General features: G+C 43.3%; 2 annotated features.

The window, feature by feature from the left end:
- Positions 3,321–4,520: an enhancer, noted in NCBI's record as "CDK7 strongly-dependent group 2 enhancer chr9:92822514-92823713 (GRCh37/hg19 assembly coordinates)". NCBI's record gives its function as "activates an origin of replication core promoter dependent on BRD2, BRD4, P300/CBP, MED14 and CDK7 cofactors, with strong dependence on CDK7, by STARR-seq in HCT116 cells {active_cell/tissue: HCT116}" and the evidence as "EXISTENCE:reporter gene assay evidence [ECO:0000049][PMID:35650434]".
- Positions 5,326–6,525: an enhancer, noted in NCBI's record as "BRD4-independent group 4 enhancer chr9:92824519-92825718 (GRCh37/hg19 assembly coordinates)". NCBI's record gives its function as "activates an origin of replication core promoter dependent on BRD2, P300/CBP, MED14 and CDK7 cofactors, and independent of BRD4, by STARR-seq in HCT116 cells {active_cell/tissue: HCT116}" and the evidence as "EXISTENCE:reporter gene assay evidence [ECO:0000049][PMID:35650434]".

Below are 16,307 nucleotides of genomic sequence, written 5' to 3' on the forward strand. Positions count from 1 at the left end.
CAGGTAGGGTGGCAGATATGTGAATTCCAGATAGATAAGGCATAATGTCTTTGTATAGGTGTGTTCCACGCAAAATTCCAATATGCACTGCTTGACTTACAATGGTGTCACTTCCTGATAAACCCATCATAAGTTGAAAATATCATAAGTGGAAAGTGCATTCAATATACCTACCTTACCGGCCTTCCTAGCTTAGCCTGGCCAACCTTAAACGTTCTCAGAACACTTACATTAGCCTACCATGGGCAGTCACCTAACACAAAGGCTATATGATAATAAAGTGTTGGTATCTCATGTAACTTATTGAATACTAAGCTGAAAGTGAAAAATAGAATGTTTGTATGAGTACTCAAAGAATGTTTTCTATGGAATGCCATGTCGTTTTCGCACCACCTAAAGTCTAAAAATCTTAAGTGGAGGCTTCACAAGGCAGGGACATCTGTGTTTGATGAGGCAACCCTCCCCAGAGGCACACGGAACGGCTTTCTCCACTCTCAGGAGACCAGCATTTACTCTTCCATGCAAGGAAGGCCAACACAGTGTCTCTGGTCCCAGTCCACCAGCAGACTGCTGATGGGACAGTCTCCACTGCACACAAACCCTGCTGCTCTCTTCTCTGCTCCAGAGGTTCCTATGTTGCCATTAACCTCTTGGGCACAGGAGTTTAACTCTCCATGTCAGTCCATTTCTCCTTCCAGACCAGGGCCTCAGGGGTCTCCAAATCCCCCCCCAGTGGGATTTTATTTTATAACAGGACAAGTAACCTGGAGATAAACCACCCTTTCCCCAGCAGGCTGCAGTGGGTGACTATGGTTGTCTTACTTTTGTTTCAGTCTTCATCTCCCCCGTCTCGTGTCAGACAGGGTCATTAATGAAACACCTGTGAATGCACACACACACTCTTGAATGCACACACATGCACACATACACATGCATGCAGACACACACCCCAGACTCCACTTTTAATTCTGAGCTCAACAGTCATTAGAAGCCCTAGGCCCACTCACAAAATCAGAGCCATAGTTGGGCACCAGGACAGGCCCTGGGCAGCAGGAATGGTCTATTGGAGTGGGTGTTGCTGTTATTGTGACTAAACTCCAATCACTTAGAAACAAAGTTTGGCTGGGTGACACTGAACAGAAGCCCAGGCCTTAGGATAGTGTATTAGGCCATTCTTGCATTGCTACAAAGAAATATCTGAGACTGGGTAATTTATAAGAAAAGAGGTTTAATTGGCTTATGGTTCTGCAGGCTGCACTGGAAGCGTAGCACAGGCATCGCTTCTTGGGAGACCTCAGGGACCTTTTACTCATGGCAGAAGGCAAAGTGAGAGCTTGCGCATCACATCAGGAAGGCAGGAACAAGAGGGAGTGGGGAGAGGCCACACGCTTTTAAATGATCAGATCTTTTGAGAACTCACTATCAGGAGCTCAGTACCAAGCCATAAGAGATCCAACCCCATGACTCACACACCTCCTACCAGGCCCCACCTCCAGCACTGGGGATTACAATTCAACATCAGATTTGGGTGGGACATCCAAACCATATCAGATGGTGCAAGGCTCCTTTAAGAGTGGTTCCAAAGTCATGGATGAGGAGAATCACGAGAAGAAATGCCAACATAAACAGCACCCAGCTCCTTCTGGGAGGTTATGAGTCATGACGTCCTATTCTGTTTGTTTGCTTGTTTGTTTGTTTGAGTCCCACAGTGGATTTTTATTATCTGAGAGTTTGGGAGAAACTGCTCCAGGGCTGAGGGCCTAGACAGTCCATGATGGTGGTCATGATGAGGGCCGGCTCCCATCCTGGAATCTGCACTTCATCCCCAGAGTGAAGGTGGCAGAGAGTGGCTGCAGGGACCATGGCTATGATCTGCCCAGGGGTGGGGTTCAGGCCCACGACCAGCCTGGATTTCCAGCCGCAGCTATCAGGGGTTCCACATTGGGTCCCAGGAACTGAGGGACATGAGGGCAGCCCGGGTTAGCCCAGAGAGGTCATCCCGACCTCCACCTCCTCCCATTCCTCCCTCTAAAAAAATAAAAACAGTGAGTGGAATGAAATAAACAACAACAACAAAAAACAGTGACAAAATCTGTCCCATCCACATAGCCCCTCCTGATTTGTTGGCGGAGAGGGCTGCATGGATCTCTGATACGCTAGCAGATGGCTTTACATAGCACACAGCAAACAGTGGTTCCAGCTCCCTAGGCCAGGCCAGGGGCATGTAGCCTGCAACGGGCTGAACTGAGTTCCCCAAAAATGTAGGTTCAAGTCCTAACTCCCAGTACCTGTGAATGTGACTTGACTTAGAAACGGGGTCTTCATAGATGTAACCAAGTTAAGATGAAGTCATACTGGATTACAGCAGGCTCTGCCTCCAATGATGGGTGTCTTTGCAAGGAGAGACTTGAAGACTCAGACACGCGGGAGGCGATGGCCATGTGAAGATAGGCAGAGAGGGGATGATGCTGACACAGGGAGCGTGGAGGGGCTGGGAGAGGCAGGGAAGGGTCCTCCCCAGAGCCTTCAGGGGAGCATGGTCCTGCTGACATCTTGACTGCAGACATCTGGCTTCCAGAGTATGACAGAGTGCATTTCGGTGAAGTCGCCCAGTTTGTGGTAAGGTGCTACAGCAGTCACAGGAAGCAAATGCATGGCCTGATGAAGCCAAGCGGTAATAACCAACCGGTAAATGAGGTCCATTATCCGGCTGACCCAGAAAACGTAGGACTAAAATGGGCAAATCTGATAGCAGGCACCTGGGAACTAAGCTTTGATTTAGACACATTATATCAGGCAGGATCTGACCCACAAGCCAGGCAGGAGGCTGCAGCGACCATCTGGGTCTTATGGCAGAACACTCCTCTGGGTTCAGGAAACAGAGTCCTCTATAGTACTGGTCCCGTGTGGCTTTGCTGGAGCCAGGGATCAGGCAATGTCTCGGGTTGCTTAAGGCTGGAGCCACTGGGGGATTATAGGAGCCCACTAGGAGAGGGTCTCGGGTGGGGAGGGGGATGTTCTTTCCGTCAAGTGCTATGGAAGCCTTCAAGCAATGCATTGGAGTGGGGAGGAGCACAGGTTCCCTGGGGCAGCTCTGGGAATGAGGACATTGCACAATTAGAAACAAGGCAGAGAGTGAGGCCAGCCACCTTGAAAAGCTGCTTGGAGGATGATATTTTAAAAATCAATATTCAGAGCTATCTGTTTTATATTCTGAAGGACATACACTGATTTAACATGGTTAATCTAGAAAAGGGCCTTTGAATCGTCTTTCCTTATAAAAAGGTGTTCTGTCTTTTGTTCACTCAGGGTTTCGTGCCCTGCATTTTAGTTGGTAGATATTGGTGGTCAGTGGCCCGTGCTCGAAGAATGTGGATCACAGAACTCCTTTGGATGCCTTCTCCTTGGTGTTTTACCAGGACCCATACCTGAGCAAGGATCATATATGATGCACAGTGAAGACAGAGTCCCTTCCTGCCCAGGCAGGAGATCCCTCGCACCACCAGAAAGGAGCAAAGAGGATGAGCTGTACTTGCCCAGCGTGACACGATGCTTACCTTGAACAGAGCTTCAGGAGGTGGCCGATCTAGATGAAGTGAATGACAGTCTCTGGTCCCATCCAGGCATGGATCCACGTGGAGAAAACCCCCAGTGCTGTGTGCCATGGGTGGGGTCAGGGCTGTTTGCCAGTGTCACTAACCTGACCGCTGTGTGAGTTGGGTTCACATTCCACTCTGGGAGTCTTAAGGTGAGCAACAGCCTATAAATCCACATTCCATACCTGCCTGTCGAGGTCCATATCACCCACATTTTTGCAAGCGCTCTTTTCCAACTCTTCTCTGAAATGTAGTACCCTAAATTCATGGGAACTTTTGATCCAGGTCCTGCAGTAAAGATTAAAAAAAAAAAGTTAATCCCTGTGTTTATAGAGATTATCTGTTCTGCTCTATTTTCCAAACTGGTAAAAATTGTCAGATCTATTTATAAATACTGGAGTAAAATTAGTTACTGGCTAATTCAGGAGGAGCTTTTAACATTATTTAAATAGTAGGTGAAGATTTTGAGGCCAGATTAAAGAAATAAAAAGACTTTTAGTTTAAAACATCACCCCCCCCCGCTTGTTTGTCTTTATAGTAAACATGTGTTTGTAGCTACCAGCTCTATAACTTCCAGTTGTGTGAACACAAGTAAATTGTACTTGAACTTTTTAAGCCTTCATTTCTTCATAATTAAGTTGTGAAGAATAATAATAACCAAACATGGCTGTGGTAAGAAAAAATATCAGATGGCATTATCACTGCTCTAGAAACCCAAGTTCCTTACTTCAAAAATATATTTATCATCAAATCTCAAAAATAGTCTCTTCTTTTTTTTTTTTTTTCATGAGTGAAAGATTTGTTTCATCTGTTATGGCAAGTAATATTCAGACTTCTGTCTGTGAACAGCAGCTTGTCAGCTTGCACAAAGACCTGAGTCACAGGCTGCATGTGCTTGCTGGGGTCTGGATGGCTCTGCCATGCCTGTTTTATTGACAGCTCTCGCTGTAAGGCACCATTACTGTCCTGGTCATGGGAGTTCCAAGTAGCTTACCTTCTCAGTGCTGCATCCAATGTTGCCAAGTGCAGTGGCCACTCTATTAAAACATTCTTAGACTTCTCTTTTCTTCTTTATTTTCACAATCTGGATGCTCATCCATTCATGAGTTTAGTTACTTTCTATTTGATATTTTTCTTGATTCTATTTCCCCTTGAGTCCATTTTATGCATTGTTACATATGCAATTTATTATATATTTTATAAGAATTATTAAATATATGCATATTTTAAATATTATGCAATATCTTAAGTCATCTCTTTAAAATGTTATGATCATGGCTCTTCCTGTTGCCCTTCAGCTTGGTATTCTGGTAGACATGGCCAGTCTGGCCAGCCCTCTGCCTTCATTACACCAGCCTTGTATCAGTCTGCAGTGCTTTTGGCTCACATGTCAGAGAAGCTTGGAACTAACTGCTTTCAGTAAGAGGGCAGCTTGCTATGTCGTAGAACTTGGAGTCTGGAATGAGAAGGTACACATTTCTTTTTGGAATTCAACAATGGATTGAAGGTCCTTGGCTCCACCTTCTATCATTGTCTGCCTTAGCTGGCCACCACAAGAGTGGCTGCATAGCTCTTAGCAAGCAGCTGACAGTTCCTGCCACCTACCTCTTCCCTATCCTGCACTCACTGTCATCTTTCTCAGACAGGCCTTTTGCGCTTTTACTTGGCATAGAATCATCTCTCTACCTTTCTAGGCCACATACTCCTTCAAGTCCAAATCATTGTCTCTGCTAAGCCTTCCTGTATTCATTATAGTCTCTTATTTTCTGTAGTCTTAATGCTCTGGATTCAGGGGTCCTGCTGACTGTGGAGAGAATTTCTAGAGTCAGCTAAGAGGTAGCAAACACTTCCCAAGAGTGTGCCTTTCTCATGCAAAAGAACCAATCCAGAGCCCAATCTTGCTCATACACTCTAGCCAATCTTCTTCTGCCTTAATTACCTGAAGACCAGGGACCAGACAACTCAAGGCAAAGCCTGTACCTGAAACACATTGAAATTATTCAAACCAGATGATCCTAAATCTGCTTAGCCTGTTTACTCTGCCTTGTCCATTTCTTTCCACAACAACCACAATAAAAGCTCTTACCCACCTTTTCTCCTCACTCTCTCTGTCTCCTTACGGACCCCATGCTTTCTCATGTGGCCCTGGTGGCGTGGCGTGACCCCACTTGGGATCTGTAAGTACAAAATACTATCTTTTTAATGGAAGTCATCTCTACATCTGTTGGCCTCGCCTTACCTGAATCATAATAAAACCTGCGTTTTAAAACACTTCCCAAGCTAGCTTTAGGATTTCTCTTTACCAGGGAAAGTGTCTTGCCTTTGTCTTGTGCAACCCTCCACCCAAAATAGGAAAGGAAGCTGATGGGCAAAGTGGCTAAGGAAGACAGAGAGCTGTGGAGGAAGTCCAGATGGTCAACAAGATGGCATCATTATCCTGTGATGAGGAGGCCTGAAGAGAGAGAAAGGTGATGAAGAAGCCCACAGTTTGTTGCTAGATAGAAACTAAAATTAATAAGATGAGAAAAATTAATTCAACTTACACTCAAGACATAAAATGAGAAGCTCCCCAGAAAGTCCATTCATCAGGCTTGAGAGGGGAGAGAGAAATGAGCAAATAACTTACTGTAATCTGATAATGTCAGAATGTGGTGCCAGAAACAGTGGCTCAGCCTTGGGAGTTGGATTTCCAAGATCCAGGCTCCTAGAGGAGTGGCTTGTTGACTAACAGGGAATTAGATGTTAAATCTGTTATCCAGATGCCACGTGGGCCAGACTAATGGGGAGACTGGTATAACTTTGTATTTCAAGATTTTTACAAAAGCCAGTCACTCCTCTTTTTACCCACCAAGAACTTTTTCTCTGCTGAGGCACTGGCTCCAGGTTCCTGCCTCTGATAAGTTGTCTTTACCATGCCATGTCTTGTTCCTTCTCATCCTGAGAACCCCGGTGTGCACCACCCCTTCTATTGGTTGCTATGCACAGATTTGATCCTAACAGGGCTAAAGCAGTTAGGATAGAGCTCAGCTGAGAATTAGAATGGCCGACATTATAGCAGCTTAAACCAGGGCTTCTCAGACTTTAATGCGCACAGGAAACACCCCATGATTGTGTTAAATGCAGATTTTATTACTGTGCACCTCAGCAGACTTGAGGAAGAGTGAGATTCTAAAACCTGAAAGGATCTGCTGATTCAAGGAACGCACTATAAGGGCATCAACAACACAGAAACTCATTTCTCTTTCCCAGGAAAGGCCTGGTGCGGAGTCCTTGGGGACCTAGGTGACTTCCATATTGTTGCTCCATCATGGAGCCTGCATTCCCAAAGTCACCTCAGAGTACAAAATGGCTGCTGGGGATCCCACCATTGTGGGATCCAGCCTGCAGAGAAAGAAGAGGGGTGAAGAGGCAGAGGCAAGGCTGCCACTCAGATATCTCTTAAGAAAGGCTATAGGTAGCTGTTCCTTGACACATACGGTTTCAAAACTTTGCTCAGATCTGTCAAAGGAAGCAGGGAAGGCTGGCCTCGTGATAGGCGCTGTGTTTTCAGGTAATAGGTGGGGATCCTGTAACTATGTAGACTCAGTGGATGGATACTGGGAAAGCCAGGCTTTTGTGTGTGTTTGTGAGGGTTCAGGAAGGAGTCAGGCATTTATAAGAGGTGTATTACTATTATTATGTAAATAAATCTAACAACAACAGCACCAATAATGGGTAACAATTATATAATAGGTACTCTGTGCCAGGTAATGTTCTAAGTGTTTTACAATTTTTGATTGATGCAGTCCTCAAAATAACCATATGGGAAAAGTGAGGCAGAAGAAGATGAAATGACTTGCTCAGGTCACACAGCCAGCAACTGACTGAGCTAGATCTTCAAGTGGCTGCTTCCAGACACTGTGCCCTTGACCCACTGGCTCACTGGTGGAAGTTTAATGACCTGCTCTCCAAACAAAAACGCCCTGGTTTGAAGCATTTGCCAAATCCTGTGATACAAATCCTTCAAGCTACCAATATGACATCACTGAGCAGAGTCCGGGAGGAATTAGAGTGCATTATGTTACTATATAATACTTTATTATCATATTATACAGTGTTTCCCCCAGACATACAGTATAGATTTCAGTAATCTCAAAAGCATAGGTTTACAATGTAGTGAAATTATTAGAAACTGATACGTTTTGAGTATTTATCTTCTTAAAAATGTGGTTTATTTAATTTAAAATTTCTGTTATTTAATCTTGAATACTTGCTAGGTTTAATGACTAGCCTGTAAAATTCCTGACAATTTAAAATTGGCTCTTGTGACCCAGTACACGCTGACTTCAGGCTCCACTGCCCCAACCAGGATGCTTTACAAAAAACTTAAAACTAAATATTACACATGGGTGCCCCTTAACAACTAATGACCTGTTGCCTCTTCAGCCAGCTGGAGCTTTGGCCTCCAGAGCAACGTCCTATCTTTCTGCTCCATTTCTGACTTCTCAGTTCCCAACATCTAAGAAGTAATAAATAAAATTGAACATACATTTTTCAAAAATCTCATGTTCCTAGGGAGAGTAATTCCTTCCTTTGCTTTCCCATTTCTTGCTGACTCGTTCCCTCTCTGACTGACTAGCTGTGCATGTGAGTCAGAGTCACTAGCTGTGGAAATGGAGCCCCTTCCAAAAAGGCATTTTGATCCAGCTCTTAATGTTCCTCCTACGTTGTTTTGGAGTGGTCCTTCTCAGGACAGCTGGTGGTAGGAGTAATTTTCTTTAATTTATGGAGCGGTATCTAAGTCATGTAGACTCACAGTGAAGAGAGTGTATGTCTCATAGCACAAGGGGATGCCCTTGCACTGGGGCTGCCTTGGACAAAAGAGGACGTGATGCTGCCAGAGTTGGGAGAAAACTTTGAACTGAGACTGTGAGTTTGACAAGGAGATTATTCCAAAGGGAAGGATGGTGTTCTTCAGCTCCACTCCTCAAATTCCCAGAGCCTCTCAGTTGTACCTACTGGGCATTCCAAGAAACTTGTGTTTGAAGCAATTGTTTTGTTTCTTTATTTTATTTATTTATTTATTTTGAGACAGGGTCTCACTCCCCTTGCCCAAGCTACAGTGCAAGGGCTTGATCATGGCTCACTACAGCCTCGACTTCCGTGGGCTCAGGTGATTCTCCCACCTAGGCCTCACAAGTAGCTGGGACTACAGGTGCGCGCCACCATTCCAGGCTGTTTTTTTGTATTTTCTAGTAGAGATGGGTTTTTGCGAAGTTGTCCAGGCTGGTCTTGAACTCTTGGGCTCAAGTGATCCACCTGCCTAGGCCTCTCAAAGTTCTGGGATTACAGATGTGAGCCACCAGGCCTGGCCTGTTCTGTTTCTTTAAAAAAAAAAAATTGAAAATCACTGATCTAGCAGATGGAAGGGTGTATTTCATAAATGCTGCTTTCTCTGCTCAAGACACCTGGTCCTTCTGATGAGCAAAGCTCTATTCTTCACCCTTCAGTTCACTTCATCCTGGGAAGCTTCTTTGCTGCTGAAGTCAGGGACCCGCATCCCTCCTGGGCTGTCACAGTGCTGAGCATTCTTTTCTCATGGCCCTTATCTCATGCATCATAATTATCGTTTGTGTGTCTTTCTCACTAGACTATAAACTTTGTGATGGGCTGTGATGATGGATGTTATATCTTCTAAAAGGCCTGGCACCAAATAGGTGATCAGTCACTCATTATTTAACTAACTTGATGAATAGATACAATGCAATGCATTATTTTGTTAGCTATTACATTAGTGCAAAAGTAATTGCAGGTTTAATGGCAAAATCCGCAATTACTTTTGCACCAACCTATTAATTATTAAAGCACAGGAGGGAAATCTTTCATAAAAACCAGGGTTGTCCAGAAGTCAAAAGTAAGTGGACACTATTAGATTATAGAATTATTTTTTTTCTGGTCTGCTGTGGAAGGCAAGGTCAGGGTTAGTGCATGAAAGATTCAAGAAGGGCAGTGCAGTGCAATCTATGCAAAAACCTTCCTCATTTTACAGTGTCATAAAATGGACAGCGGTGATTCTGGCAGCTTTGGAGTTTATATACACTATTTTTCTGTAAAAATACAAAGTGACATGTAATATATTTACAAACCCTTAGTTGGTGAATTGAAGAAAGGAAATCTCTGGATTCTGCAGGCAAGTGTTGAATTCAGGAGAATATCTTTGTGTTCCTCCAGAACCAGAACTGAGAGCAGATTCAATGCATGTAGTTTATTTGGGTCATGATCCTGGGATTGAAATATATAAACAGAATAAGTTTAGAGCAACTCTGAGAATAGAATTGGGGTCATGGTAGGCTTTTCCACCTTTTGTTCCTACAGCCAGTATTTACTCCCAGACTAAAGGCAGAAATGCCTGCTTAGGAGAGAAGCTAGGGCTCCTAAAACAATAGAGGCCCTGAGATACGGCCCAGTTTTGTATCTGATGCTTGAGTAGGCCTGCCAATTTCCCTTATCATTATTTATACCCTTAAAGAAGTCACCAGGTGATGTATCTTACCTGTAGTCAGACCTTGCAAGAAGCCCTCAGACCCTGGAGAAGGACCAAAAAATGAGAGTAATGGTAGAAGAAAACCTTGTGAACTCTCTGAATAAATCATCCATATGATTTATTTATAAACTCATACTCCAAGAAAAAGAATCAAAGGAAAATGAAAGAAAAGAACAGGGTCTAGGAGGGAGTGAATAGAATTGATCCCAGAAGAAACAAGGATAATCGGACGGGCATGGTGGTTCATGCCTGTAATCCCGGCACTTTGGGAGGCCGAGGCAGGTGAATCACCTGAGGTCAGGAGTTCAAGACTACCTGGCCAACATGGTGAAATCCCGTTTCTACTAAAAATAAAAAATTAGCCGGGCGTGGTGGTACATGCCTGTAATCCCAGCTACTCTGGAGGCTGAGACAGGAGAATCACTTGAACCTGGGAGGCGGAAGTGGCAATGAGCCAAAATTGTGCTATTGTACTCCAGACTGGGCAACAAGAGTGAAACTTTGTCTCAAGAAAAAAAAAAAAAAAAAGAAAAGAAAAGAAAAAAAAGAAAAGAAAAGAAACAAAGACAATCCAGAGAACTAAGAGGTACTTTCAAACCTCTATTCAGAGTTAGAAGAGAAGAAATTACATTCGCAATTTAAGAACAGACTATTGTTCGGAAGGTATAAAATCAGAACATAGAATCAGTTCATGGGATTAAAAATATTGTACCTAAAGAAAACAGTTCAATAGAACTAATTTATAAAGTAAGAAATGTCTCAGTACAAAGAGATGAGAAACATGACAGAGAAAACTAGAGACAGAGAAAACTAGAGACAGAGAACAGAGATTGCTCATTCAGAAATGCTATCTTCTATTAGGAGTCTACAAAAGTAAAAGAGAGAGAAAAAAGGGGGAGTTTATTATATGTTTTAAACAATGATAGAAAAAAGGAATATATACATATTCAACTAGATCTTCATTTAGGCACATCCTAAGGCAATTTCAGAAAACTAAGAATAAAACAAAGACACTAAAACATTCTAAAAGCAACATGCATGTTACCTGCAATGGAAGAAGAAAAAGACTAGTAGAAAAGTTTCCATCAGTAACACTAGTTTTTAAAAGATGATGGAACAGTGCTTGAATGTTCTTAGGAAAATGATTTGGAACTTAAAATTTATTCCCAGTCAAACTATAGATCAAATGTAATTGAAAAAAATTTTAAAATACACTTTTAGACATTCGGGGAAGGATTAGAAAGTTTACTTTTCATCTATGTACTTTTCTGAAGGTGCAGAAAAATATTTTCTAAGATCTCTTGAAAATACACTGTTGCAAAAACAAACAAAAGGAGTGCAACCAAGGAGAATACAACGCCTCTAATAAACAGGGGTCATAACCTAAGGGCTCCTGAAAAGCAACCCCAGGAGGCTAGCTGGCACTCAGATCTGGAGAGAAGACAGCAAAAGGAGAATTTTTTTTTCTCCCGGTGGTCACAAATTAGATAATTTCCTCAATATGATAATACTTATGCAAAGATTCTGCGCCCACAAAAGAAAACAAATAAACTTAATGGATATGTACACACAGAATATGTATAAAATTGTGCCTGGAAAGTACGCTACCATCTTGATAGGTGTTACTTTGGGGAAATGGCGTAGGAGGTGAGAGAATAAGGGAAGGTTAGGAGGTTAGAAAAGATGTTTTTGCAATATTTTCATTTCTTTTACAAAAAGATACTATCAGAACGTCCAGCAACATAATCTTGGCTGTGGTATAGACTGTTTAATAGCTTTGTGGAGATATAATTGGCAAACAATAACCTGCATGTATTTAAAGTGTATACCTCAAAAAGTTCTGACATTTGTGTACACCTGTGAAACCATCACCACAATCCAAGTGAAGAACATGCCAATCTTCCCTAAAGTCTCCTTATGCTTACTCTTACTCCCTCCGGCCCAACCCTCCTCCCCACCCCAGGCAGACACTAAGATACTTTCTGTCACTATACATTAGTTTACATTTCCTAGAATTTTACATAAATGGAATTACACCAGATGCATGCTTGTTGTTCCAGTGTAATTATGAAGAGCATCCCTTTCCTGTTTGGACAATAAACTGTACTATAATCAACCTACTACCAGGCAAGTAGCTAGTTGAAGCCTGTTCTTGAGTCCTGGTTGCCTTTTTCCAAGGAGAGACCACGCTGACTCTTGCTTTTCCTGTCTTTCCACTTGATGCTTTTACTCCCTTGTAGATACTCTGGTTTCTGTCTGGTAAGAGTAGTGACTTGGGCTGGTCTAACTTGAACAAAAGGACCAGCATGGAGTGCTTTGAACATTTTGACGGATTCAACTTTCAATGTTGTGATGAGTAAACATAGTCTTGAGTATAACCCAAGTTAGAAGCTCAGAGGCACTTGTAGTTAAAGTAAGCAATTTGGAAACTTACCATCAAGAATAAAGTTGGAGGGCTGGTCATAGTATTTCGTGCTTGTAAACAGCTACTTGGGAGGTCCAGGTAGGAGAATTAACTTGAGGCCAGGAGTTCAATACAAGCCTGGGCAACTTAGTGAGAACTTGTAAGCAAACAAATAGAGAGATAAATAAATAAATTTTGAAAAGAATTTTTAAAAATTAGCCAGGTATGGTGGCTTACACCTGTAGTCCCAGCTACTTGGAAGGGTGGGGCAGAAGGATCACTTCAGCCCGGGAATTCGAGGCTGCAGTGAGCTACGATTGCACTGCTACACTCCAGCCCCGGTGACAGAGCAAGTCCCCATCTCATAATAAAAATAATAAAATGGGGAGAAAGAACATAAATAAGAAACACTGTGAACTCTATTCTACAAGCTGTCATTAGCTCACCCCCAGGAGGTTTTCTCTCCCATGTTTATCTCTGCTCTCCCTACGTCTCACAAGTCAGACAGGGTGGGATTGATAGAGTTGGCCAGACAACACCCACTGAGGAAATTTCCCTGAAAGAAATGTCAGGTTTCAGTTACCATGGATGCACACACAAAATGCCCCTACTTGATGGCATAAATGACCATTTGACTATACTTGCAGATTCTGTGATTGGGAGTTCAGACACGTGCTGCAGAGATAGCTCATCTCTGTTCCACGATGTCTAGGGCTTCAGCTGGGACAACCTGGAACTTTGTGGTTTGCTTGGCCAGCTAGAGGCTGGAACCATCTGGAAGCTTTCTCACTCGCATGTCTGGTGCCCAGAATGCAATGATTCAAAGGTTGGAATCAGCTGGGGCTCTGTGCCTGCACATGGCATCTCCATGTGACTTGAGTTTCTCACAGCCTGGAGGCTGAGCTCTGAAAAGGAGGGTTTCAAAAGGGATCGTCCAGACAGCAAGTGTCCCAAGAGAACCGGGCTGAGGTCCATGCTTTCTGACCAAGTTCCTGAGGCCAGCCCAGCTTCAGCAGGGTGGCTTTAGTGGGGACTAGGATGGCCACATTGAAGAAGAGCATGGAGGATGGGATGTGTATAAACTACTTGGGCTGCCATAACAAAAACTGTTGAGTTGGTAGCTTAAATAACAGAAATTTATTTTTCACAGTTCTGGAGGTTGGAGGTCCAAGATCAAGGTTCTGGCCAATTTGGTTTCCAGTAAGGGCTCTCTTGTTGGTTTGCAGGTGGCTGTCTTCCCACTGTATCCTTACATGGGGTGGCAGCAGGGAGGAGAGCGATTTTCCTCTTCTTATAAGAAGGACACCAATTCTATCACATCAGGGCTCCATTTTTATGATCTCATTTCTTCATTTAGCCTTAATTAGTTAAGGCCCCATCTCCAAATAAAACCACATTGGAAATTAGGGCTCCAGCATATTAATTTCAGAGGACCCAAATGTTCCATCATAACAGGATATTGTTGGGTCTGTCATTGATAAATACAGTCTTCCCAAGCCAGTGACATTAAAAGTAAAAAGGAGAAGAAGAAGGAGAGGAAAAAAATCTTTTTCTTTTTTTTTTTTGAGATGGAGTCTCGCTCTGTCTCCCAGGCATGATCTTGTCTCACTGCAACTTCCACCTCCTGGGTTCAAGCAATTCTGTGCCTCAGCCTCCCGAGTAGTTGGGATTACAGACACCCGCCACAACGCGTGGCTAATTTTTTGTATTTTTAGTAGAGACAGAATTTCAACATCTTGGCCAGGCTAGTCTTGAACTCCTGACCTCGTGATCCACCCACCTCAGCTTCCTAAAGCCAAAATCTCATAGAATAATGTATTAGTCCATTTTCTCTTGCTTATAACTGAATACCTGAAACTGGTAGTTTATACAGAAAAGGAATTTGCTTCTTATGGAAGCTGGGAAGTCCAAGATAAACAGGGAGCATCTGGTGAGAGACTTCTTGCTGGTGATGTCTCTCTGCAGAATCCTGAGGCAGTGCAGGGCATCACATGGTGAGGGGGCAGAGTGTGCCAGCTGAGGCCTCTCTTCCTCTTCTTATAAATCTGCCAGTTCCCCTCCCACCATAACCCATTGACCTATTAACCCATGAGTGGAATAATTCTTTCATGAGGGAAGAGCTCTCATGACCCAATCACCTCTTAAATGTCCCACCTCTCAGTATTGCCATATTGGGGATAAAGTTTCAACATGAATTTTGGAGGAGACGTTCAAACCACAGCAAATATATAGTGCTGAATTACCTTTGAATTACAAAAAGAAAAATGGAGTCAATGAAGAACAGTTCCCTGGGGAAAAGTTAGAGCATGCTTTGGTGGGGGAAGAAAATCTCTGAATTAAGTTTCACTGGATTCCACCAGCTTGACTACTAATTGTGAGACATTCTGCAATCATTTGACAGAATTTTCTCATCTACAAAATAAAAGGTGCCTGGGCAATCACCATGAGCCCTCCTGTCTCCAAAATTATAGCTTCCTGACTCCAACAGCTTGACTTCTTCTCCCATAGCTTATGCTATATTTCCCTATAATTATCTGCTTCCTTCATCCTCCTGCCACAAAAATTAACCTTTATGCTTCTTTTGATACCACTCAAATATCACGCTCTCAAGGAAATTGTTGATTTCCTTTATAAAATGTAATACAGCTTGTGCCTATGTGTGCAGCACCCTTTATTTTAGGTAGCTGGTATGATCTTTCTCTGGACTCATGGTGATGGCATTTGGGTTAAAGGAAAGAGCATTTTTTTATTTTTGGTTAATAGCAAAAACAAAAACTTGTTTTTTACCCAAAATTCGAATCTCTTCCAGTTTAACTAGTCCCTCACCAATAAATAGAAAAATACAATTTTAACTTGCTTGTCAAAGCTATTGATTGCTTCTCTCCAAGTTTCCCATCTCCTTCCACCTTCCGAAGTGGCAAGAGAAGATTCCACAGCCCAGGAAGTGAGCCCTGAATGATAGGAGCTTCTGGATGACACCAGGGCTCTGACCTGATAGAGCTGATAGTCTGGTCCCTGGGCAACACGGACCAGACCACTGAAGTGCGATAAGACCATCTGCCCCTCTGGGTGCTGTGCTGGTCCCACTGATGAAGCGTATGACTCTGGGGAAGCATCCTCCACAGTGCAGAATGAGCCCAAATCTCACCTGATTCTCAGGTTCTCTTAGCTCTTTCTGGTCCCCTACCTACGGCCACAAGAGGTGAAACAAAAACCCCCTCAGGTAACCAGTTTATTGAATGAAGAGGACTCAGATCAGGAAAATACCAGAGAAGCTTTATTGTGTCTAATCCCTGCATGCAAAATTCACTCTGTGAACCTGTTTCTTTTCTGCTTACCTCTCAATTAACATCTTGGATAGGTATTGTGGCTTTCTGGTGCCTTTGGTTATAGGAACAGTCTCATCTCAGTAATTGTGTTGGTCAGTCCAATGTAATGATCAAACTTCCATTATTATCACATTAAAATTGATTTCTGGCTGGGCATGGGGTGGCTCACGCCTGTAATCCTAGCACTTTGGGAGGCCGAGGTGGGCGGATCACGAGGTCAGCAGATCAAGACCATCCTGGCCAACATGGCGAAACCCTGTCTCTACTAAAAATACAAAAATTAGCCGGGAGTGGTGGCGCACGCCTGTAGTTCCAGCTACTCAGGAGGCTGAGGCAGGAGAATTGCTTGAATCCGGGAGGTGGAGGCTGCAGTGAGCCGAAATCGTGCCACTGCACTCCAGCCTGGGCAACAGAGCGAGACTCCACCTCAAAAAAAAAAAATGTTTTCTTTGCCA

Source organism: Homo sapiens, chromosome 9 (assembly GCF_000001405.40).
Source record: "Homo sapiens chromosome 9, GRCh38.p14 Primary Assembly".
NCBI lineage: Eukaryota > Metazoa > Chordata > Mammalia > Primates > Hominidae > Homo > Homo sapiens.